Source organism: Homo sapiens, chromosome 9 (assembly GCF_000001405.40).
Source record: "Homo sapiens chromosome 9, GRCh38.p14 Primary Assembly".
NCBI lineage: Eukaryota > Metazoa > Chordata > Mammalia > Primates > Hominidae > Homo > Homo sapiens.
The window spans coordinates 77,407,769-77,434,592 of NC_000009.12; the positions used below are offsets into that span (position 1 = coordinate 77,407,769).

The following is a 26,824-nucleotide window of genomic DNA, read 5'->3' on the forward strand; positions in this document are numbered from 1 at the left end:
TTACCCCAGACTTTTTTTTCTACCAGATTCAATTCGGCATACCTACTTGCTTTTCAAACCAGATTGCTCCATCTTATTTTAAATGCTAACTCTAATTAATTTTTTTTAATAAAAAAGTCAACAAACAAAAATTAATTATTTTGTTTTAGTGTTAATCCATCAGCTCCAACAGGAAAGTGTAGCCCCACATTGTTGATTTTTCTACTGCATAGCTACCGTGATTTTTTAAAAAGTTGCCATAGCTGACACAGACCAAAGGGAGCCAAGCCCAACAGAAAATCCAAGTTTGAATACTGATTTTGTCCTTCTTGACTATAGAATCTTGCAGAAGGTCAACTAAGCACAGTTTCCTCAAGATGAGAATGGTGTGAACTGAAAAGCATGGTGTGTACTTTAGGGATTATGGCAATCAATCACAAGGATGTGCACTGTCAAGAAAATGAAGACTATGAATTGACTGTCTGACCTCATTGATCACAACTGAAGTGCTATTCAGAATGTTGAGTTGTACTCATTATATCATGAAACTTACAGTAAGAGGGTGGAGCCAAGATGGCAGAATAGGAAAAGCTCCAGTCTACAGCTCCTAGTGTGAGCGACACAGAAGATGGGTCATTTCTGCATTTCCAGCTGAGGTACTGGGTTCATGTCACTGGGGAGTGTCGGAAAGTGGGTGCAGGACAGTGGGTGCAGCGCACCGAGCGTGAGCCAAAGTAGGGCGAGGCATCACCTCACCCAGGAAGTGCAAGGGGTCAGGGAATTCCCTTTCCTAGTCAAAGAAAAGGGTGACAGATGGCACCTGGAAAATCGGGTCACTCCCACCCTAATACTGTGCTTTTCCAACGGTCTTAGCAACCGGCACACCAGGAGATTATATCCCATGCCTGGCTCGGAGGGTCCTACGCCCACGGAGCCTTGCTCATTGCTAGCACAGCAGTCAGTCTGAGATCAAAGTGCAAGGCAGCAGAGAGGCTGGGGGAGGGGCGCCCGCCATTGCCCAGGCTTGAGTAGCTAAACAAAGCAGCTGGGAAGCTCGAACTGGGTGGAGCCCACCACAGCTCAAGGAGGCCTGCCTGCCTCTGTAGACTCCACCTCTGGGGGCAGGGCACAGCCAAACAAAAGGCAGCAGAATCCTCTGCAGACTTAAATGTCCCTGTCTGACAGCCTTGAAGAGAGTAGTGGTTCTCCCAGCACACAGCTGGACATCTGAGAATGGACAGACTGCCTCCTCAAGTGGGTCCCTGACCCCCAAGGAGCCTAACTGGGAGGCACCCCCCAAGTAGGGGCAGACTGACACCTCACACGGCCAGGTACTCCTCTGAAACAAAACTTCCAGAGGAACAATCAGGCAGCAACATCTGCTGTTCACCAATATCTGCTGTTCTGCAGCCTCCGCTGCTGATACCCACGCAAACAGGTCTGGAGTGGACCTCCAGCAAACTCCAACAGACCTGCAGCTGAGGGTCCTGACTGTTTGTTAGAAGGAAAACTAATAAACAGAAAGGACATCCACACCAAAGCCCCATCTGTACATCACCATCATCAAAGACCAAAGGTAGATAAAACCACAAAGATGGGGAAAAAACAGAGCAGAAAATCTGGAAACTCTAAAAATCAGAGTACCTCTCCTCCTCCAAAGGAACGCAGCTCCTCACCAGCAATGGAACAAAGCTGGATGGAGAATGACTTTGACAAGTTGAGAGAAGAAGGCTTCAGATGATCAAACTACACCAAGCTAAAGGAGGAAGTTCGAATCCATGGCAAGGAAGTTAAAAACCTTGAAAAAAAATTAGATGAATGGCTAACTAGAATCACCAATGCAGAGAAGTCCTTAAAGGACCTGATGGAGCTGAAAACCAAGGCACGAGAACTAAGTGACGAATGCACAAGCCTCAGTAACTGATGCGATCAACTGGAAGAAAGGGTATCAGTGATGGAAGATGAAATGAATGAAATGAAGCGAGAAGAGAAGTTTAGAGAAAAAAGAATAGAAATCAACAAAGCCTCCAAGAAATATGGGACTATGTGAAAAGACCAAATCTACGTCTGATTGTCATACCTGAAAGTGATGGGGAGAATGGAACCAAGTTGGAAAACACTCTGCAGGATATTATCCAGGAGAACTTCCCCAATCTAGCAAGGCAGGCCAACATTCAAATTCAGGAAATACAGAGAATGCCACAAAGATACTCCTCAAGAAGAGCAACTCCAAGACACTTAATTGTCAGATTCACCAAAGTTGGAATGAAGGAAAAAATGTTAAGGGCAGCCAGAGAGAAAGGTCAGGTTACCCACAAAGGGAAGCCCATCAGACTAATAGCTGATCTCTCAGCAGAAACTCTACAAGCCAGAAGAGAGTGGGGGCCAATATTCAGCATTCTTAAAGAAAAGAATTTTCAACCCAGAATTTCATATCCAGCCAAACTAAGCTCCATAAGTGAAGGAGAAATAAAATCCTTTACAGAAAGGCAAATGCTGAGAGATTTTGTCACCACCAGGCCTGCCCTAAAAGAGCTCCTGAAGGAAGCACTAGACATGGAAAGGAACAACCGGTACCAGCCACTGCAAAAACATGCCAAATTGTAAAGACCATCAAGGCTAGGAAGAAACTGCATCAACTAACGAGCAAAATAACCAGCTAACATCATAATGACAGGATCAAATTCACACATAACAATATTAACCTTAAATGTAAATGGGCTAAATATTCCAATTAAAAGACACAGACTGGCAAATTGGATAGAGTCAAGACCCATCAGTGTGCTGTATTCAGGAAACCCACCTCACATGCAGAGACACACATAGGCTCAAAATAAAGGGATGGAGGAAGATCTACCAAGCAAATGGAAAACAAAAAAAGGCAGGAGTTGCAATCCTAGTCTCTGATAAAACAGACTTTAAACCAACAAAGATCAAAAGAGACAAAGAAGGCCATTACATAATGGTAAAGGGATCAATTCAACAAGAAGAGCTAACTATCCTAAATATATATGCACCCAATACAGGAGCACCCAGATTCATAAAGCAAGTCCTTAGAGACCTACAAAGAGACTTAGACTCCCACACAATAATAATGGGAGACTTTAACACCCCACTGTCAACATTAGATCAACGAGACAAAGTTAACAAGGATATCCAGGAATTGAACTCAGCTCTGCACCAAGCAGACCTAATAGACATCTACAGAACTCTCCACCCCAAATCAACAGAATATACATTCTTTTCAGCACCACACTGCACTTATTCCAAAATTGACCACTTAGTTGGAAGTAAAGCACTCCTCAGCAAATGTAAAAGAACAGAAATTATAACAAACTCTCTCTCAGACCATAGTGCAATCAAACTAGAACTCAGGATTAAGAAACTCACTTAAAACCACTCAACTACATGGAAACTGAACAACCTGCTCCTGAATGACTACTGGGTACATAACGAAATGAAGGCAGAAATAAAGATGTTCTTTGAAACCAACGAGAACAAAGACACAACATAGCAGAATCTCTGGGACACATTCAAAGCAGTGTGTAGAGGGAAATTTATAGCACTAAATGTCCACAAGAGAAAGCAGGAAAAATCTAAAATTGACACCCTAACATCACAATTAAAAGAACTAGGCCGGGCACAGTGGCTCACGCCTGTAATCCCAGCACTTTGGGAGGCCGAGGCAGGCGGATCACGAGGTCAGGAGATCGACACCATCCTGGCTAACATGGTGAAACCCCGTCTCTACTAAAAATACAAAAAATTAGCCGGGCGAGGTGGCGGGCGCCTGTAGTCCCAGCTACGCGGGAGGCTGAGGCAGGAGAATGGCATGAACCTGGGAGGCGGAGCTTGCAATCAGCCGAGATGGCGCCACTGCACTCCAGCCTAGGCAACAGCAAAACTCCATCTCAAAAAAAAAAAAAAAAAAAAAAAAAGGAACTAGAGAAGCAAGAGCAAACACATTCAAAAGCTAGCAGAAGGCAAGAAATGACTAAGATCAGAGCAGAACTGAAGGAAATAGACACAAAAAACCCTTCAAAAAATGAATCCAGGAGCTGGTTTTTTGAAAATATCAACAAAATTGATGGACCGCCAGCAAGTCTAATAAAGAAGAAAAGAGGGAAGAATCAAATAGATGCAATAAAAAATGATAAAGGGGATACCACCACCGATCCCACAGAAATACAAACTACCATCAGAGAATGCTATAAACACCTCTATGCAAATAAACTAGAAAATCTAGAAGAAATGGATAAATTCCTCAACACATACACCCTCCCAAGACTAAAGCAGGAAGAAGTTGAGTCTCTGAAGAGACCAATAACAGGCTCTGAAATTGAGGCAATAATTAATAGCTTACCAACCAAAAAAAGTCCAGGACCAGATGGATTCACAGCCGAATTCTACCAGAGGTATAAGGAGGAGCTGGTACCATTCCTTCTGAAACTATTCCAATCAATAGAAAAAGAGGGAATCCTCCCTAACTCATTTTATGAAGCCAGCATCATCCTGATACCAAAGCCTGGCAGAGACACAACAAAAAAAGAGAATTTTAGACCAATATCCCTGATGAACATTGATGCAAAAATCCTCAATAAATTACTGGCAAACCGAATCCAGCAGCACATCAAAAAGCTTATCTACCATGATCAAGTGGGCTTCATCCCTGGGATGCAAGGCTGGTTCAACATATGCAAATCAATAAACATAATCCAGCATATAAACAGAACCAATGACAAAAACCATATGATTATCGCAATACATGCAGAAAAGGCCTTTGACGAAATTCAACAACCCTTCATCCTAAAAACTCTCAATAAATTAATTAGGTATTGATGGGATGTATCTCAAAATAATAAGAGCTATCTATGACAAACCCACAGCCAATATCATACCGAATGGGCAAAAACTGGAAGCATTCCCTTTGAAAACTGGCACAAGACAGGGATGCCCTCTCTCACCACTCCTATTCAACATAGTGTTGGAAGTTCTGGCCAGGGCAATCAGGCAGGAGAAGGAAATAAAGGGTATTCAATTAGGAAAAGAGAAAGTCAAATTGTCCCTGTTTGCAGATGACATGATTGTATATCTAGAAAACCCCATCGTCTCAGCCCCAAATCTCCTTAAGCTGATAGGCAACTTCAGCAAAGTCTCAGGATACAAAATCAATGTGCAAAAATCACAAGCATTCTTATACACCAATAACAGACAGAGAGCCAAATCATGAGTGAACTCCCATTCACAATTGCTTCAAAGAGAACAAAATACATAGGAATCCAACTTACAAGGGATGTGAAGGACCTCTTCAAGGAGAACTACAAACCACTGCTCAGTGAAATAAAAGAGGATACAAACAAATGGAAGAACATTCCATGCTCATGGATAGGAAGAATCAATATCATGAAAATGCCCATACTGCCCAAGGTAATTTATAGATTCAATGCCATCCCCATCAAGCTACCAATGACTTTCTTCACAGAATTGGAAAAAACTAAAGTTCATATGGAACCAAAAAAGAGCCCACATCGCCAAGTCAATCCTAAGCCAAAAGAACAAAGTTGGAGGCATCACGCTACCTGACTTCAAACTATACTACAAGGCTACAGTAACCAAAACAGCATGGTACTGGTACCAAAACAGAGATATAGACCAATGGAACAGAACAGAGCCCTCAGAAATAACGCCGCATATCTACGACCATCTGATCTTTGACAAACCTGACAAAAACAAGAAATGGGGAAAGGATTCCCTATTTAATAAATGGTGCTGGGAAAACTAGCTAGCCATATGTAGAAAGCTGAAACTGGATCCCTTCCTTACACCTTATACAAAAATTAATTCAACATGGATTAAAGACTTAAATGTTAGACCTAAAACCATAAAAACCCTAGAAGAAAACTTAGGCAATACCATTCAGGACATAGGCATGGGCAAGGACTTCATGTCTAAAACACCAAAAGCAATGGCAACAAAAGCCAAAATTGACAAATGGGATCTAATTAAACTAAAGAGAGCTTCTGCACAGCAAAAGAAGCTACCATCAGATTGAACAGGCAACCTACAGGATGGGAGAAAATTTTTGCAATCTACTCATCTGACAAAGGGCCAATATCCAGAATCTACAATGAACTCAAACAAATCTACAAGAAAAAAACAGCCCCATCAAAAAGTGGGTGAAGGATATGAACAGACACTTCTCAAAAGAAGACATTTATGCAGCCAGAAGACACATGAAAAAATGCTCACATCACTGGCCATCAGAGAAATGCAAATCCAAACCACAATGAGATACCATCTCACACCAGTTAGAATGGTGATCATTAAAAAGTCAGGAAACAACAGGTGCTGGAGAGGATGTGGAGAAATAGGAACACTTTTATACTGTTGGTGGGAGTGTAAACTAGTTCAACCATTGTGGAAGTCAGTGTGGCGATTCCTCAGGGATCTTGAACTAGAAATACCATTTGACTTAGCCATCCCATTACTGGGTATATACCCAAAGGATTATAAATCATGCTGCTATAAAGACACATGCACACATATGTTTATTGCGGCACTATTCACAATAGCAAAGACTTGGAACCAACCCAAATGTCCAACAATGATAGACTGGATTAAGAAAATGTGGCACATATACACCATGGAATACTATACAGCCATAAAAAATAATGAGTTCATGTCCTTTGTAGGGACATGGATGAAGCTGGAAACCATCATTCTCAGCAAACTATCACAAGGACAAAAAACCAAACACTGCATGTTCTCACTCATAGGTGGGAATTGAACAATGAGAACACATGGACACAGGAAGGGGAACATCACACACCAGGGCCTGTTATGGGATGGGGGGAGGGAGGAGGGATAGCATTAGGAGATATACCTAATGTTAAATGACGAGTTGATGGGTGCAGCACACCAACATGGCACATATATACATATGTAACTAACCTGCACGTTGTGCACATGTACCCTAAAACTTGAAGTATAATTAATAATAATAATAATAATAATAATAATAAAAACTTAGAGTAAGAGGACATTTCTCCTATACTTGATCCCTGGGCCTCCTGGCCAGACTCAGAAGAGATCCCTGGCCTCCTGCACTCATACAACACTCTGCGTTGATCCTGGCTGTGGTGACTGTTTACCAGTTCACCTGTCACATCTGAACCCAAACTAGGGGCCTCTCCCACTGTCTCATACACATACCTTGGACCAGTTAACATGTCCTATGCAATTTTCTATCTAGACATTCTGATATAAGGCGACACTGACACACTAATAGTGGAAAACACAAAAGGAGCAAGTTACAAAGAAAGAGGAATAAAGTTACCAGTCTTCATATGCTTGTCACCTGGAACAGGGAGACAGATAAGCATGACTTTTAGGCCACCTTCTTTCATGTCACTGAAGGACAGTACCACCTGTTTCAATTTACCTGCAATAAAGTTTTCTTTTAATTCCTTCACCATGTGACTGACTTTATCCCAGAAGGTTTGTTTTTAATCCTCCTGCTTGGCCAGGAACATCCAGAGAAGGCTACTGGATTCAGTTATCTTTGTCTCCCTATCTTAGGGCTATTCTTACTAGGCTCTTTTAAGTTAAAGAGGTACAAACATCTCTGTGAAATCTTTATATATTAGAATAAGCCCTGTATCACCTCCGTGGCTTTTATCTGTCATCCATGCCCAATAATAATAGACATTACTGGTAGAAAGGTTGTGTATTACATTTACATTTTATTTTTGTAATTTCAAATTATTTTAGAATAGAAAATATATTGTGAGAGCACCTAAAATGCTCAAGAATGTTGCTTCTACTACCCTCTCTGGAATTGTGTGTAAGTATTTCTACTCCATTAGTAGAATCCTGTATCTGGATTTATGGAAGTTCATGATACAAAATCAGCACAGATTGGAAGGAATTTTTTTCTTTCAGGCTGGCTCATTTCACTTAATTCTGAAGATGAACATCCAAAGACCTTAGAAGAACTGCATTCCTACTATTAAACCAAGTACTATTGTCCCTGAGCCATCTGGGCCATTGAAGTGAATGATCTCTTTTGCAGGATGAATTTTATGTATTGGCTGTCAGTATTACACCTAACTAAACTATAAAGCTAACTTCTAGATCTCCATTCATTACATTTTGTTTCATTACAAGTTCACTGAAGTAAGCAAATGTTCATTTATTTTCCCACCGCAGTGGATCCTCACAAAGCTACAAGAAGCAAGAGAACCTTCTCCGAGCCTCTGACAGAGAACACTGCCTGAAGACACACAGCAATAAGTGATTACAGCTCCTAGACTACCTTCCAAAACCTGTTTGGGAAGCATATTACAGAAATGATTTCAAGTACCCTGTATTCTGGATGCTAAAAAACAAAAACAAACAAAAAAACAAAAACAAAAAAACAAAACCAGAATCAGGTAAAACAGCTATGTGATTAAAATATTTTAATTCTTCAGCAATTACCCGGTTTTCTAAATTGAATCATGCATCTATTTATAATTCTAATTATTTTGTAAAAGAAGACAAAATTATGAATCTTAAGTATTTGCTCCATCTTTTTCTCTGTAATGGTGGAGAGGCTGCCCATAATTCATCTCCACATGGAGCCAAGTTTAATGTTTCTAGTTCACATTTTGTACTTCTGTCATGCTTATTTCAAACTCCCTGAGTGATGGGTAAGAAATCAAACATTGCCTCAGTGGTATCAAGAGAACTTTGGTGGTGGTTTCTTCAGAATCATGAAGTTCTTTTGCCAGATAAATATTTTGATATTATTTTCCTTTTTAATATAAAGGATAGGTTTGAATTGTACTTAAAATGCATAGCATTATTAAAAACAATCTTTTAAAATATAATTTATAACATAGATTGAAGCCTCCCCTTAAGAAACCTTAAAGAAATAAGTATCCTACTCAAAAAAGGAAGTCTGTTTCAGAACTTTAGGGCCTTTGAAATATTTCCTCAAGCCTATTTCATGAGATCTACTTGGTTTACCCAAGTCATGTTTTTAATAGACTGCTAATATCAAAGGAGAATTTTTAAAGCCTTAACAATGCCTACTTTCCATTCACTGTTAACATGGAATAAACACAATTCCCAACATCTTAGATAGTGTATTATGCTTCCAACAGACAGTCCCTCTCATATAAAGTTTATGTACCCTAAAATCTAACCCAATAACCTGTCCCGTTGCCAATAGATTGAGAATTTCTGGTTTGCTTACTCTACAGTTATTCAAATGAGAGTCACGCTTTTAAATTTACAGCTCATCACAGAAATCATCAGCTATACATTAGTAAAAATAAGGACATGAGGTTTTCTTTCTTGGTTTTTGTCCAAGATCTTTGCACCTTAATATTAATGGACTGTTTCAGGTAAAAGAGAATGAATGTATGATTGTGAACTGTGAAGAGAATGATGCAGGATCCTATTTAGTTACTGAATAATACAGAGTATTCAATGCATGTTGTATGTGCCACCAAGTTACTATTAACTGTTTTTGGAATTGAAGACTCTGTATAGTCAATAGTTGTGAAATTCTTCTCAGGCTCCTTAAACCCTCGCTTTGTTGTAAAAGCTAAAATAAACAGCATGCTATATTGTAATTGTATTTCTTGCTGACCAAATCTACTAAATGCTATTGATTTCTCTCTGATTACTAAAACACATTGTTTATTCTCAGTAGTTTCCCCCAAAATGCTTTTTTCTTTGCTGAACTTAAATTGAATCAAACCACAAGTTTAAAATCACATGAAAGTGTGTTTCCATGTTGACCTTTGTTTAAAAAAAAAAAAAAGTGCTTATTTTCTCTGTCGCTAAGCTCCTCCAGTTTTGCTTTTGTCAGAATTAAACTTAACAGTAGAGGTAGTCAGAAAGCTTGCATCAGACTGTCCTCATCCAAAACGAAATACTTCATTACCCAATGTTATGATTTCACCATTCTCAGAAAAATTACAGTCCCCTGCCTCCCTGGGTGTAGTGTCGTGAAGTAGAAAAGCCTTACATAAATAGTAAACATAGAAATTCTTCTGGTGCCCTCTGGCAGCCAGCAGGAGTGGGTCTTGTGACTAATCCACATGGAAAGGATAGTGCCTGTCTTTCCTGTTCCCTTGCCATAAGAACCGTGAAATCTCTCCTTTCCCTGCCACTCGTTTACTCATCACCTCCTCCCATCACTTCCTTGTCTCTAGACTAGAGGGACCCACAGTTTTAAGAGCTACATCATATCATTTGTTGTTTTAGAAGATTGTCTTCATCTAAACAAAAACACTAAGAAATCAGTAGATCACTAGATAATGAGTCAGTGTTTTTAGCATCACATTTTACAATTTACAGTTTTTGTTTGATTCTGTAGCCCATTTTTCTTGAAGGTTAGAATAAGAATCTTCTTGTATTTGAAAACCATCTGCCCTAAATTACATTTAACTACAAGAAATGGCTCTCTGCTGGAGAAATTTAAGCTTGTCTTAGTTGTTTGGTAGTGGCTATGGAATGAGAGGTGTTGAGTCTTGTGCCCCTTCCATGTATTATTTGCTAACTAACTATATTACTAGGCCCTTAATTCCAGCACAGCATGTCTTCTGGTCTATGATAATTGTGTGAGGACTAAGGCAGAGTGCCTGTTCCCTGCCAACTCTCCACCAGAAAATCATAATCAGAAAGAGTGACTTTGATTTCTGGTACTTGTGATCAAAAGCAGCTTGTGATTTCTTCACATTTGCAAAATACTCTCTGAGCCAAAAGGCACATACAGTTCTCCAGTGTCTTCCCTTTTAGAGTATACATATTTGCTGCTTTTCCTTTAGTGTTCACAAAAATCCCAAGGTCAGTTTAGTGTGGCTGAGTTGTTGTTATCTGGACCCTAAACAATCATTACCACCTGTAGACAGTTCTTACCTACCCCTCTCCTCCACAATCCTAGTCCATTTGGAGGCAACTATCCTGTGGCCTCCAAGTGAATAAATCTTTCTTACACTTACTTACGTGATATTTTCTATCATAATTATCTCTCTCATTTCTTCCAATAGTAATAGCGGTAATATTGTTCCATTGAATATCTATGCACCTAGCTCATCTCTTAGAAACATCCCACATAGTAGCATCGTATTACTCTCTGGTAAAAAGAAAGATTAAATTAAAAGGACTCTACACAGTGCTGAATTTCCTGCACCTAAATTATTCAGTTATCACTTGCCAGTATTAGTTGATCCTTCAGGCTATGCCAAGTGCCCCCTCATGTAGGCCTCTGTATTAAAAAGATTGGGACAAAATACTTGATTAGTTTGCCTGTAGAAGCTCAAAGTGTGTACCAAATACATTGACAGTGGATGCTTTCATGGCTCAGCCAACACAGTTCAGAGGAATCTTTTCGGCTTCCAGGGCATTGCTTGTTACCTTTTGTCAGGATCAACCCAAATCCTCAGGGATGCTGTTTTTCCACACTGTAAGTCCTAACTCATTAGTGGGTCATGAAATCAACTTAACAGCTCAAGACCAGTATATTTTAAACGTGAAATAATAAAAAATAGAGGAACAATAGAGCATATAAAATGGTTAAGTATTGGTTCCTGAAATACTGTTTCAGCTAAATATTCTATTTACTGTGTATACTGGGTCACAATATAAAGTGTTTCCTGTTATGAAATGCAATTTAAAAAAAGAAAGCTTGAAAGACTGCTGCAGGAGGCACCGGCCATCCAGTGATTGTTGGAAGAGTCTGGATTGTGTGGAGCCTGACCTTAGATAAGGAGCAGCAGATCCACAACTCAGGAAGTCTAGAGATGCTTAGCACTTCTTCTTTTGAGTGAGAAGATGGAATCACTCTTGGTTTCTAAAATATTTTTCTTCTCTGCTGTGTATCGGGCAACCTCACATGATTCAGTGGGACCAGAAAAAGCATAGAAAAATTAGATCCACACACAGCACCCAAAAAAGGCCATAGTCTTTTGTTTACCTAGATGTATTTTAACCTCTTTACCACTAAGCATTTTACTATAATAGAACTGGGGACATACATTGTCCTTTTGAGTCCGTTGAATCTGCACCATCTACCTTTTGGCTGATTCACCATACAGGTGGCAAAGGCCTTTAAAAATGGGGAGCTAATACGTAGGGCACATTCTGGTAGGGCCAAAATATTCAGTGTCTGGGGGGTGCTATGCAAATATCAATGACTTTTTACTAAAAACAGTGGATTTCCTCATTTCTTTAAGATCCAAGTAGAAAATGTAAATAACTTACATTCTGTATGCAGGACTCAATACAGACTTAGTCAATCTGATTTTTTTTGGTGCTTTTCAGTATAGCGCAACTCTAAAAGGAAACCCATTCACCCTCCTTAGTCCTTTGAAGTATACTTTTGAAATTATACCTTATTGTTAATGGCAACCTAATCAAGCTAGGATTTGTCGGTTAAAATTTTGATTCTTGTAATCTGTACTGTCAATTTTTGGCCACTCTGGCTGTTACAGCAAACTTTTCTCCCACTGTCATAATTGGTCTAAAGTAGTATTTGTTTCAGGACTATCCAAAAAGCAAGGCCAGCACATTGAGAAGATGCAGAATCCTACTCTATTACAAACCTCACTCATGTTTCTTTTATTGAAACCTTTTTCTACTTTATATTTCCTCTTTTGTAAATTTTTCCATGTCATTTAAAAAATTTTTTACTTTAGAATTACAGATTAGTTCTTTTTTTAAAGCATTATGGCATTTTCAAAAAAAAAATTATTTTGGTTACCCAAAAAGCTATACAAGAAATATAACTTCAATTTTTTAGGTTGATATGGGTATATTTTTAAAGTTTTTATTACTTTATACAAATACAAATTAATTTATATTATAGTTTAACACCTGCTATGATGATAGATATCACACTGCTATGATAGAAAATCCCTGTCTGTCATTGAACTATTCATTTAGTGTTACTCTGATATGTTAATAATGTATTCCTTCTAATGAAGTCCTTGTAACAAGAAACCCTGTGAGATTGGTATAATGAGATATCAAATAATCAGAAGTATAATTAAAATAGAACATGTTGGAAAATCCCAACATTTCCTGTTATGCCGTCATACCTCCGGTGTTCAGTTTGTTACTCAAAAGTTCCCAGTTCTTAGGCTGAAAAACATTCAAGTAAAAATGTAGCATAGATTACACTGAAATATTTTCAGTATCAATGATTTAATATCCACACAAACTATTAGGAATGGTATCTGGAACTTGTTACAAGGTCAGATAAACTGTTACAGAATTTTAGAAATAATTATCTCTGTATGTGACTGTGTATTACATATAAAAATGAATTTTTCAGGAAAAGTGCACTTTAAAAATACTTTCTCTTGCTAGTTTTTTAAATTGATGAAATAGCCTGTGCTGCTTTGGAATGCTTATTCTTTCTTTGATGAAAATACGGTCATTGATTATGATAATTTTAAAAATATCTATTTCTGCATCGCTGCAGGATTTCCTACACTTTTCTGTTCCTCATCCCTCTTTTATGTGTGCTTGGCTCAGTTGCCTGTTACACAGCCTCTGCCTTGGTTTTGTGTATTCTAAGATAATTTATAAACACAGATATTTACAGTGAAGTTCTTCCTTTTGAAACTAATCTTATTCTTTTATTCCTCTCTCTAAAAATTGGTTGGCCATGCTCACTAATGATTTTTTTTCTTAACAATAAGCATTTCTTGGTATTGGTAGATTTGGATTGCATGGTAAGATGACTGCCCATTTTCACCATGTATACCTTTGTCAAATAAAGATTTCTGATCTTTGGTCTGCTTCTGTTTTTAGTTTTTTGATAGAACTAGAAACATTATTAATACCCTTCCCTTGCCTATATAAATTCCACCCTCTTTGGGGCTGAAACAAATGTGAATAACAGATTGCCCAAGGTCCTGATTTTTCAGTCAAAGCAGGCGACATTCCAGCCCAGCATGATCATTGCTGACTAAAAGCTTGGGGTGGTATAGTACCTAGTAAATTCTCTTTTTTTTTTTTTTTTTGAGACAGACAGTATTGCTCTGTCACCAGGCTGCAGTGCAGTGGCACGATCTCGGCTCACTGCAACGTTCACCTCCCAGGTTCAAGTGATCTTCCTGCCTCAGCCTCCCGAGTCGCTGGGACTACAGGTGTGTGCCACCACGCCCAGCTAATTTTTGTATTTTTTTTTTTTTAGTAGAGATGGGGTTTCACCATGTTGGCCAGGATTGTCTCGACCTAGTGAATTCTTAACCACCGACATTCTGTCTCTTAACCTTAGAAAACTCCGCATGACTCATTTCCCCAGTAAGTAATGAGAATATTGAATGAAGGGCCAGGAGAGAATTTTCTACCAGCAGAATCAGTATTGGCAGAGGTAATTAATTCACCTCTGACATTGAGAGTCTAGCCTTTCCATGCCTTAAGAAAATATTGTTACCACCCTTTGAATGACTTATTTAACAGCCCTCCCACAACCAGGATATGGAAAGCCATCATTTTCTTATATGCTTTAAGTAGTCAGCCAACTATAAATTAACAAAAACTCAATGCAAGAAAGTGCTTAAAATAAGAAATGGAATTCTTCATGGTTTAATTTCCCAGATGACTGGATTCTGTTGAACCCTTTTTATGTTAATTGGCTAGTGAAACCCAGTCCATAGCCTTTAGCCCATCGTTGGTGGGGAGGGGAATTGTCTTGTATTTTCTTTGTGCTTCTAGATATCCTAAAGAGCTCCATTCCCCTCTCTCTGTTCTCACGCAAAACTGTCTCGGCTATTTCTGGACTTTACTGTTCTAGATAAATTTTAACATCAATTTGTGAACTTCCACAAAAGCTGTTGCTATTGCATTTATCTCTTGAGTGAGGATTCATATTTTTAAAGCTAGATGTTGCTATTGTAGAATTGCTGCATATCAGAATAATTTCAGTCTTTTTCAGCAATTGGAATTGTTCCCACAGAATGGGGACACATGGTTCCATAACATATGTAGCCAACCGAGGTGCATTTTATAGACTGATTTGAGACAGATATTTCATACCTTACGTCCCCAAATGGTGTATGTGTGTGTGCACACACATGTGTGCACACATGCACAAAACCATCTTGGCCTTTAGTGTGGAGCACTCTTAATTCCCAGAGGATTCTCCTTCTGCTTGACCCAGCCAGCTACTGAGGGAACTGCAGCATGACACGATGATGCGCAGACTTGCCTTGAAAGGAGGAATCTTAGGAAAGTTTCCGAGTTACTATTAAGGCCACAGCATTTTTCTGTTTAGGAGCAGAACCATCAGTCAACCATGAGCTCTAAGAAACACAACATAACCCAGTGCTAATAGCAGAATGGTATATTCTTAGCCTCCTCAGAAAGGCACAGCATACATAATTCAAACAGCAAATCTGTGGTGGCCATCAGAACTTTGGCAGGGTTACGTAACATTTGTCAAACAATGTGGACTTCTAGCCATTTCATACATTTTTAAGATCTGGTCATATACATTGGGGGTAAAAATGTACACACACACACACGTGCACACACACACATTTTTCACCAATAAAACATATATGCTATCTAGAGCCCATTTACTCTATGTCAGCTTTGGCTTCTTGGTGATCAAACTGTGGCAAAGCTAAATTAGATATACTTATATATCCATTAATTTGGCTTAGAAAGTTAACACACAAAAAGAACCAAGTGTTTAAAAAAAATCTTTGGTGGCATGTTAAAGGAGTCACCCTTCAGCATGAGGTGAGAAACACAATTAAAAATGTCTCTAAATTACAAGGTTTAATAAAAAGCTTCAAACCCATTAACATTCTTATTTTTAAAAAAGTCACCCAAATTAACTCTAGAGGTTTGAAGGCATGATCTATAAACTAACAGGCTCCTTGCTTACATAATTTTAATCGCTATTTTTAAACATATTTAAAACTAAATCAAAGTGGCTTTTAAAAATTCTAGAAAACACCAAATTCAAAAATTACACAAAATCTTATAGCCAAAAGTCAAGAAAATAATTATAAACACAATTTGGGATGTAAGGACTTTTAAAGTATGTTGGTAAACTCAAATATCTTCCAAGTTCCATCACCCATCTCTGTCCCCACGATCTACATGACATCCTTAGTTCCTGGCATGGGGCTGGCTCTGGTGATGTCAGAAGCACTTGCAAATAAAACAAGGAGTTTGCAAATCACATCTTCTGTTATAGGGGAGGAGTGGGCAGCAGCTTTTAGACAAGGTTGAATTCCCTTAGGTTTAGCTGTAGAATTGTGTCTTTGACAGCAGCAAACACAAAGCGAATATTGTCTGTATCTGTAGCACATGTGAAGTGAGAGTAGATGACTTTCTCTTTGTCAGGATTCTGATCTTGGTAAAGCTTCAGGATAAAGTCTCTGGCAGCTCTGACATCCTGTTTCGGTCCTAGTCACAAGTGCAATTACAGGAATAAAGACACAGACTTAACACCATGTCCTCCCAAGAACCTTTTTTTTGAGACAGAGTCTCGCTCTGTAGCCCAGGCTGGAGTGCAGTGGCACGGTCTCAGCTCACTGCAACCTCTGCTTCTGGGGTTCAAGCAATTCTCCTGCCTCAGCCTCCCAAGTAGCTGGGATTACAGATGCGTACCACCACACACAGCTAATTTTTGTATTTTTAGTAGAAACGGGGTTTTACCATGTTGGCCAGACTGGTCTCGAACTCCTGACCTTAGGTGATCCACCTGCCTTGGCCTCCCAAAGTGCTGGGATTACAGGCGTGAGCCACCGTGCCTGGCCCCAAGAACCATTTTTTAATGTATTCTTGTTCTTATTTGAGATCCTGCTTTGATCCATCTTTATTTCCAGGGAACGGTTTACCTGGAGCATTATTTTTATGGTATCTCATCATGAACCCATAAAATAGTCATATTTTAAAATGTCCTCTGGTATCTAAAAATTGTACTTTACAGTGATTTGTTTAAACATAGTGACCCAATTTGTCTGATTTGGACCACTATTGAAGAGAAGTAATCCTGGCTAACACATATGGACAGACAGCTCTGGTCTAGGAGAGATAAAAGGAAGAATGTGGGAACTAACATCAGGCTGATTTTAAAGCTCGAGGGTGCTACACTACACAGCCAGTATGGTTAGTAAAAGGGGAAAGAAGAGTGCTAAAACATGAATCCACTAAATATCAGTGTCAAACTTAAGGTTTGAGACCTCCTGTACCAGAAACAATTAGCAACAGGGCATGAGACTCTCCTACCTTGGACAGGTTATGTGAGTCCACCATGTGTCTGGGAAAAGGGATGCCACACTCTAACATACACATAAGAAGCACCAGGTGCTCTGACTGGCATGAGGAATGCACAGATAAATCAAGCAGAGTCTCTACCCTCATGGAGCCGACTGGGAAGAGAGCTGAGTGAGCAGAGGATATGACATAGCATGATGTGGCCAAGAGAGCAAGCAGGGGTTAGGCTGCTGAGGGAGCAGAAAGGAGGAGGCACCCTTCCTGCAGACCAGATGGGCAGGGGAAGCCAGAAAGGCTCCCAGAGAAGGGGAGGCCTTTGCTGGGTTTTGGAGAACAACATGGAGGCAGCGAAAGGAGTTGGTAAGGGTATTCCAAGCACTGAGGGAAGCACATGTGGAGGTGCTGTGGTGAAAACACAACAATGGTGCAACTAGAGCTTCTGTTTGAAGGTGGGAATAGGGGGAGAGGCTATTGCAGGCAGACCAGGGAGGCCCCTTTGAGCCGTGATAACTCTAGACTGATGCCCGGGAGGTGGACGAGATCAGCACAGAAAACACTGTCCACAAGATAGACACTTACCTGTGTATTCTGGGAAATAGCTAATTAGATGAGAGTACATGATTTTCTCTTCCAAAAGATCCTTCTTGTTCAAGAATAAAATCACAGACGAATTCAGAAACCAGGGGTAGGTGATGATGGTTTTAAATAAGGCTTTGCTCTCTTCCATGCGATTCTAAGTGAAAAACAAGGGACTTGGGATGAAGTAGAAAGGAAATATTTTGGAAACAACATGGCGCATTGCCAGTCCATCCATCTCTTCCCTTGCCCCGCCGCAGTCTCTGGGCCACTGTCTGCTGAAGCTGGTGAGCATGTGGGGCCCCAGGCTACAGGCCTCCTGCTTCTGTTTGCCCCTCCCCAAGCCTCTTACTAACCATCCCCTTCTGGGTCCCCTCTCCTGTAGCATCCCAGCTCTTCTCCAGCCCAAAACTCACATGGAACGAAGTAAGAAAGGCTTTGGTGCAGCTTGGAAAAGGAAGGTTCCTACCCACGTTTCACAAGTTTCCTGTGTCATGTGATCGTTGGGATTACTAAGTGGGGAAGTGCCAGCTTCAGACCTGACACGGCCACCTCAGTTGGTTATGGGCTTCCAGACTGGGCCTCAGCAGTCAAGTGACAAGGCTCTTCCAGCAAGGCCACTGGCCCTAGGAATGCTAGAAGTTGGCAGAGACAGGACGCACTGCTACTGGGAACCCACCCTGTGCCACACTTTACAAGCAGAGCAGTGGCCCGTTTGATGGGTGACCATACTGTTGTTCAGAACTTTTTTTTTTTTCCTTTCTGAGATGGAGTCTCGCTGTGTCGCCCAGGCTGGAGTACAGTGGCGCGATCTCGGCTCACTACAACCTCCAGCTCCTGCATTCAAGTGATTCTCCTGCCTCAGCCTCCCGAGTGGCTGGGACCACAGGTGCATACCACCACACCCGGCTAATTTTTTGTATTTTTAATAGAGACGGGGTTTCACCGTGTTAGCCAGGATGGTCTCAATCTCCTGACCTCGCGATCCGCCCGCCTCGGCCTCCCAAAGTGCTGGGATTACAGGCATGAGCCACCGCGCCTGGCCTTGTTTAGAACATTCAAATAACTTTCCCAAGCCCATGTAATAGTGGGACCTGGGGAAGGTTGTGTAGAAAGACAGTGATAATTTCTAAATGTTAGACATTGGCAAGAAGATATTAAATGCTCCTAATTTACTGAGAACAGACAGGGCACAAACAAATCTTATCTGTGACAATAATTGTTCTAGATAGCATTCTGCTCTTTCTCAAGTATTTCTAAGAGGAAAGAAACAAGAACTTCCCTGTAGGGAGGGAAGGGATCACAGTGAAAAACATCCAAGCTCAGCACACACACTCAAGAGGGACACGCCATAAATCACTCTTTCCCCACAACTTCCAGACACCCAGGTTTGTTCTGCCACTCAGTACGCATTGGGGGAATTACGATCTGGAATGTATTAAAGCTTTAAAATTATTATGATCTGAATGATAATGATCTCCAAGGAAATAAAATATATGAAAACTTCCCAGACAGTATACAGAGTGGATATAATACATATCTACAACCAGGAGGGGAAAGTCTGGAGTGGCAACCACTTAATTTTTCTCCAAATATTTTGTGATTTTTAGAAGAGAAAATGTTTAATTTCTAAGCACTTTGGGCTGAGATACTGGTCCCTTGTGCACCTTACTAATCGTTTGAGTTTCCTGAGGAACGTCACAAATAATTCCTGAAACAAATTTGCAGCTATTTTTTTTATATTGATAACTGAATGTCTTGCCTTTAAAAAAAAAAAAAAAATCTCCAACTGAGAGGGCTGGGCGACAGCCAGCATTTCCGTTCTTTGCACAATGACACAATTAAATGGGTTAATCCTCCACTAATTAGGTAATATAAGCTATGCTCCTCAGAGAAAAGTGTGCTCTCAAGAAATACAAGATACAATTTGTTCAGTTATTGCCTAATCCTGGACTGAGTCCTTTATTGATTTACTTTCACGCCTTGGAAACAAAAGACATTTTTTAAAAGGTCAAGAGGTCTTAATGCAAGTTCAGGGGAAAAGATGACGAGGAGGACATGAGTGTTCCACCGATACTGTCCCCAACCTGACAGAGAAGTGGCTGTGAGGGTCCTCTTCACTCTCAGGGCAGCTCCCACTGATGGAATTGGAAGCAGCCAGTGCTATGGCCACTCTGAGGGGACAACGCATGCCTGACCAGGCTGGATCCATCCCAGCTGCCCTGAGGGAGTCCCTCCCAGGAGACGTGAAGGCAGATGCAATCCCAGACAGCCCCAGAACAGCTCCAAGCATCTAGCACCACTGCCCACCCCAGTTCCACTAGGGATCTAATTTGGGAGCACCATGGGCCTATGGAGGTTAGGAAGCCTGTGCCCAGGTAAAGTGTTTTAGAGATAGTGCTGCTCGGCATTGGTTGTGCAGTAGAATCCCTGGTGGGCTCTCAAAAGAAGCCTCAACCTAAACCCAGTAAATATGAATTTTTAGTGTTCAGTCCAAGAGATGGCATTTTTTCTTTTTTTTTTTCTTTTTTTTTTTTTGAGATGGAGTCTCGCTCTGTTGCCCAGGCTGGAGTGCAGTGGTGCGATCTCGGCTCACTGCAAGCTCCGCCTCCCGGGTTCACGCCATTCTCCTGCCTCAGCCTCCTGAATAGCTGGGACTACAGGCGCCCACCACCACGCCCGGCTAATTTTTTGTATTTTTTAGTAGAGACGGGGTTTCACCACGTTAGCCAGGATGGTCTCGATCTCCTGACCTCGTGATCCACCTGCCTCGGCCTCCCAAAGTGCTGGGATTACAGGCGTGAGCCACCGTGCCCAGCCAAGAGATGGCATTTTTAAAAACCTCGCCAAGAGATTCCACTGTGCCACCAAGGATGAGAACCTAGGCTTTTGAATAGGTTCCGACCTTAGCAGCACAGTGGATTCACCTGGGGTGCTTTTTAAAAATCCCCCCACTCAGGCCCCATTCACCACCAATTCATTCAGAATCTCTGGGGTTGGACTCAGGCACCAGGTTTTTGTTAAGTCCCTCAGCAAACTCCAGTGTGCATTCAAGTTTAGAACCCAGGTTCCAGGCCCGTGATTCTCAGCCTTTCATATGTATTTGAATTACCTGGGTTCTTGTTAAAATGCAGATGCTGATGTAGTTGGTCGGGGTTGATTCAGTAAGACTGCATTTCTAACAAGCCATGCAGGTGATGCCTGTGCTGCTGGTCCACAGGTCACACTTTGAGTAGCAAGACTGTTTGACCTAATGACGAGGGTCTATTTCCTGACCCGGCTGCCTTCTTAGAAACCACAGAATAGGCTCTGGCTTCCACAGCTACCCAAACTTCCCGCCCAGCATACCTCGTTGTCACACTCAGCCAGGACCTGGTCATATTCACTCAGAGCAACCAAGAAAATAATGGAGGTGACACTCTCAAAGCAGTGAATCCACTTCCGTCTTTCCGATCGTTGGCCACCAACATCCACCATCCTGTTGTGTAGAAACACAGATCCTTCAAAGGTTGGAATACATGACACTTCGGGGAAAAAGGACATGAATTATAGCATGGAAACCAGTGCTCTTGGAGTCCTCAGTAATTTCTAAGAGAGAAAAGAGGTTCTAAGTTTTAAAATGTTTGATGCTGCTGCTTTAAGCAATGAGGGACCACTGGATGTTTCCTAGCAAAGAAGGGAGAGAATGTAAATGACATTTCTGAAGACATGCAGAGGTGACTCAGGGAGCCTGCCGGTTAGGAAGCTAACCAGTGTCCAGACAGAAAACGCAAACGTTCACTTGGGTTCTGTGACAACCACTGTAGAGTCCCTGGATACCAGACTCAAGAGGGACGCAGCGGCCAGCTGTCTTCCGGGTCTCCCAGGCTGGCTTCAGGACCCGAGCCTATTCTGTTTTTGTGGCTCCTCTAACTTACCTGTAAATCCTTTCTGCATTCCCTGGATGCCACCTCTTGTTCCCTATAAAAACCTACAAGTGTCCTCTGTCCAGTACAGAAATCCAAAGCCTCTATATCTGTGTCTTTGGGAAAAATTTCAGCAACTCCTAGCCCAGGGATCATGAGCTCAAATGCTACAAGAATCAGGCAGTTTATGGGAATGAGCCAAGTGGGCTCCCCAAAGTACAAAACATACATGGCACAACAGCCGGGGGCCCTGTCTACAGGGAAGCCTGCCGCGTACCTGCAGCCAAGCTCTGCAGAACAAGACGCAGGCTTGCCATGACCACAGTCTCTGCCTTTTCAGGAGAAACAAGGTATCCAATGTGTTAGCTCAAACGTTTTTTTAGTAACACCAAGTGAGCCAAAGAAAATACATAATGGACCAGATACAGCTGCCAAGTAACCCCCACCCACCCCTACATCACCACCCCACCACACACACACACCAGTCCCTGAAGGCACTGGGTCATTGTGGTTAGGTGGTCCACAGGCCAACCACCCAGAACTGTTGTCTGGAAAAGTGCAGGAAGGAAAATGAAAAATTCAATACTGTTCTTGAACCATGTCCTGGAGGTGCAGCCACTCCCACAATGACATGTTCATGGCTGGCTATCACAGCAGGGAACCGATCTTGAAACAGGACATTGCAATTGTCAAAAGGTTGAGCTTGAAGAAGCCATTCTATAAAAGCCTCAATTTCAAAGATCGGAATTTTTCAGCCAGAAATATCCCACTGGGAGAGGTGCTCTGAGTTGTAAAGTAATAGATTTCACTGGTGGATGATGTTAAACCCATTCACCAGCCTCTAGAAAGTAATGCAAAACCCATTCATCGCAGTCCAAGAAGGATAAACTTAGAAGAAATAAAAGTATTTTTTAAAACAAAACGAATAAACAAAATCCTTGGGAGTCTGAGAGGTTTTGGACATTGCAAAAAGCAGTTAATTGTGAAAAGGTTTAGAGAAATTCATGGGCACACAGGCACAGAGGGCTACTATTAAAATCAGGGATATGCTAATATAGATGGGGGACATGTTTGAGGGGCTGGACCTGAGGGCTTCCCAAACACAGCAATTCTGGAGAGAGAAGCACTGAGCTATAACTGGGGATCAGACAGGACCCGGATGTGGGAGGACTGATGTGTTGTCTCAACTAGAAAATCGTGTGTGATAATTGTTAGGAGGAACAAGGGAAACAGTGGATATAAAAGTGCTTTGAAATGTGCAGTGCTACATATATGCCCTATATTATTATTCATTTTTTACCATAACTAAATGCAGTGAAGATTCACTAAGTCATCCTAAAAGTATTTCCTATATTTGTAAGTGGAAATGCATACATTTTTACACAGCTGTTAGTTTGTACATATTATTCTTCACAGTTTTCATACACATTTTTTGTATCCTTAATTTTCTAAGGATAAATCTTGGAGAAGGAAATAGAGGAGAAAGGAAATATGATTCATCTTTAAGGAAAAGACATCGATAATCACTACATTCAATTTGTGGGATACAGAAGTATACATTTGTGTGTGTGTGTGTGTGTGTGTGTGTGTGTGTGTGTGTATGAGTGTGTGTTACACATAAGAATCATTCCAGTTTCCAGTAAGGAAACCCTTTTTCTCCAAGGGTAACAGGAAGGTGACTTCCTCTCCATTCCAGGGTTGAGACCTACCTACCACAATTCTAAATACCCTTGGCAGAGAGGGTCACTCTGTCCTAAGAGATATAATCCCTGCTTAGGAATAACACGTTTAAGAATCCACCTGGGGACTTCCAAGCCTGGGCAGATTCTTCATGGTACATCAGGGAGACAGACTTACCGAAAGATGATGTTTTCCAAGTCAAATGGATACTCAATGATGCCGGTGGTGGGCACTCGGACGCGAAGCACATCTTGTTGGGTAGGCACGAATGATGGTGTGGCGATGCGGTCAATGTCAGTCAGGTAACTGTATATTAGAGAACGAGGAACTGACTCTCCTTTTAGAGCAGGGGGAAATGTCCATCCTACTCAAAGGAAGTCACCCCCCACTCACAGTGAGCCCCACACAGACACACGAATTCCATCAATGACTTTCCTGAGAGCCAGTGCCAGGCCAGGCTTCTCCATCCTTCCTACGACTGTTTTGAAGACAATATGGGTCAGAAGGACTTCCATGCGCCTTCTGGGACATCTGCAGAGCACTCCGTCTCTTCCTCCTGGGTTCTAAGCTCTATCGCTTCTATTTGACCAGCGAGGGAGACAGTGGGGCTGGAAGGACCAGGATGTTGGAAATGGCTCTCTCCAACACCCCATCTGTCATCCTCCCTCCAGAGCCCCTTCTCCCTCCCACTCACCCTTGTCCAAGAGCATTATATAATGGAGATGCTGTTCTCTAAAGCTTTGCTCAATGAATTAAATAGTTTCTAAGAAAATACACAGGCGTAAAACAGGCCGAGGAGAAATTCAAAACAACAGCAACAAGAACAAGTTTTCCTCTTGAAGACACTGGGAAACTACATCTCCTAAAATAACCCAAAACTTGCCTTAACTTATTTTTGGCCATATATTGAAGCCCTGAGCTTAAAACATATTTTTTTTTTCTGTAGTAAAATAAGAGAATCCTTTAAAAAAAAAAAAAACTTTAAGGCCTTTCTAAAAGACACTTTTAGGTAAAATAACTGTAACTCAGGCCCTCGCTAACAAAAGAGTTGTAGATGCAGAGCCCGCTGCATGCTGAGGTCGGCCCTGCCCTGTCCCAGCACCGCATCAGGGGCTGAGCAGGTCCGCATGCAGGCTAACCAAGAGGTCACAGGCAAACCCTGTTCACCGTATGCCTTCAGCTCCAGAAGCAAAGCTCTGGGGCAGCCTTCCACAACCCACCTCTCTGCCCAGATACAGTCCCAGGGCTTATCACTGTTTTTGCTGTACTTTGATGTGTAATTATTTGATTTACACCTGAGTTGCTCCACCAGACTGTATATTCCCTGAGAGCAGAGAGCACTGGTTGTATAATACCTGCAGCCCTTACCACAGTGCCTGGCGCATCACAAGCACTCATCACATTGTCCAATCAGCAGACATCTCTAGCTGAGGGGTTGAAAACCGCTGGCCCAGATGGAGAAAACGTGCAAGTGCCTTGAGTCCTGCCGGTTTGGAAGGTTGGGCGACTGGGTTTAGGAGAGGCTGTTTTCTCTGTGACAGCTCTCACCACCCTAGCCACGCCCCTCGTCCATGTCAGTGGCCTTGCCCCCATGGTTTTCAGGGTTACACTGAATTCTGTAGCAGGTCTGGTGGATCTTTTCCAAATGGATCTACATCAAGAGCCCTAGCCAATCCCCAGGCCTTCACAGAGGCAGGTAACTCAGGCCACCTCAGGTATGGCTCAGGAACGTCGTACCTGTTCCTGGCTCCTCGAGCTGTCAAAGGCAAGCCCTCCTCCATGGCACTCTTTCTTTCTTCCACCTCTCTATGCTGATCTAACACCTCAGTGGGGTTTCTGTATTTTCCTGCCTTGATGCTTTTTTGCATCTAAACATTCCTGTACTTAGATTGGTTGTGCCAACCTGGATTAATGACATTCAATTCTCAGCCCGGGATAAACACCAAAGGAAGCCCATTGAAACCACAGGAGGTGACACTTCTGGCTTTCTTTCCTGCCCAATGCCTTGTCCAGCTCAATGCCTGCTCAGAGGGTGACAGTGGCACCCAAAGGGAAGGAGGTACGTCTGGGGAAGGGATTTCTGAGCCCTCAGAGGATGGAAGATGATACGGGACAGGTGTGAAAGAGCTGAGCTGCAGAAGCAGGAGTTATTGCCACTTTAAGAAGGACCCATATCAAACTATTTACCCGGTGACCAGACTGAGGAGGCATTGCCCCGGGATATTATTATTTATTTATTTATTTACATTTTCTTTTTTTTTGAGACAGAGTCTCACTCTGTCACTCAGGCTGTACTGCAGGAGTGTAATCATGGCTCATTGCAACCTCAACCTCCTAGGCTCAAGACATCCTCCCGCCTCAGCCTCCCGAGCAGCTGCCCAGCTAATTTTTGTAATTTTTGCAGAGACGAGGTCTTGCTCTGCTGCCCAGGCTAGTCTCGAATTCCTGGTTTCAAGCGATCCTCCCACCTCTGCCTCCCAAGTCCCTGGGATTACAGATGTGAACAGGAAATGCCCAAGAAAGTGAAAATCTGTCATCTCTATGGGACAGTTTGCATGCTGGGACATCTAAATAGAAATCTTTTTACCTTCAAGGATTAATGAATTAAAAATTGAGCTGTATGGATCCAAAATACAGTGTGTAGGCCTTCGCAGGCAGCCAATAAACAAAGGATTGAGCTTCCTGTGTGTGCTGCGAGCGCAGCCTCCTATCTGTGCCACTAGAGGACAGCACCAGATCAGCAGCTGATGGGTCCACGGCCCCGCTGCTCTAAACTTGACTTTAGATTTTAGCGCAATTGGACCTGCTGTCTTCTGATGGGGAAACCAGAAAGGCAGAGGGATATAGAGAGGAGGAAAGTAGAAGCCAAAAGCAAGGGTATTTCTTGTTTAAATCAGATAATTTCAGCACTCCTAAGGAGATCAGTCCCACTTAAGGGACCTCAGATTTGATTTGAGTCTCTCATTGAAAACGACAGGCTTAGAACACAGCAAGAGCAGGCGGGTGTCGGCAGGAAGAGAGGTCTGCGATCCACAGAGTGACCGAGGGCTTTAGGAGGTGGTGAGAGATGGCACTAAGAGGTCAGGAGGGATATGGGAAAGCAAAGGCAAGTAGCGCTGCCACTGTGCACCGCATTTCAGCAGCGTTCAGCGAGAAACTTCTTTGAAGTGTGGCCGAGCTTGCCTGAAAGCACCGCGGGCGGCCAGGGTGGGCTCTGTACTCACTATTTGGCAGAGTCCGACAGCTGGTACTCCCTCCTCCTGTCGTAACACTCCTGGATGCCTGGATCTTGCCAGAGCTGCTTGATGGCCTCCACCTGCTCCCTGGAGAGCATGGAGACCTTGTCCACTTCCACTTCTCTGATTATCTGGGCATTTTCCTACTCAAAGGAAAGAGAACCTTGCATCAGGCAAAGGAAAGGAAGCCAACCCATTGGCAATGTCGGTACA

At 42.0% G+C, this 26,824-nt stretch overlaps 2 protein-coding genes across 4 annotated transcripts in view; one reads left to right on the forward strand and one right to left on the reverse strand.

Moving 5' to 3' along the window:
* VPS13A (vacuolar protein sorting 13 homolog A) overlaps window positions 1-13,769 on the forward strand; it is a 244,004-nt gene extending 230,235 nt beyond the window's left edge. For both annotated transcript variants that reach the window (NM_033305.3, NM_001018037.2), the window contains one exon: window positions 8,188-13,769. In NM_033305.3, the coding sequence (NP_150648.2) occupies window positions 8,188-8,238 (51 nt within the window). In that variant the 3' untranslated portion in view covers window positions 8,239-13,769. The remainder of the gene's footprint in view (window positions 1-8,187) is intronic.
* GNA14 (G protein subunit alpha 14) overlaps window positions 15,311-26,824 on the reverse strand; it is a 225,244-nt gene continuing 213,730 nt past the window's right edge. For both annotated transcript variants that reach the window (NM_004297.4, XM_047424110.1), the window contains 5 exons: window positions 26,600-26,754; window positions 23,553-23,681; window positions 21,139-21,268; window positions 17,794-17,947; window positions 15,311-16,401 (listed from right to left, as the gene is read on the reverse strand). In NM_004297.4, coding sequence (NP_004288.1) covers window positions 16,211-16,401; window positions 17,794-17,947; window positions 21,139-21,268; window positions 23,553-23,681; window positions 26,600-26,754 — 759 coding nt within the window. In that variant the 3' untranslated portion in view covers window positions 15,311-16,210. The remainder of the gene's footprint in view (window positions 16,402-17,793; window positions 17,948-21,138; window positions 21,269-23,552; window positions 23,682-26,599; window positions 26,755-26,824) is intronic.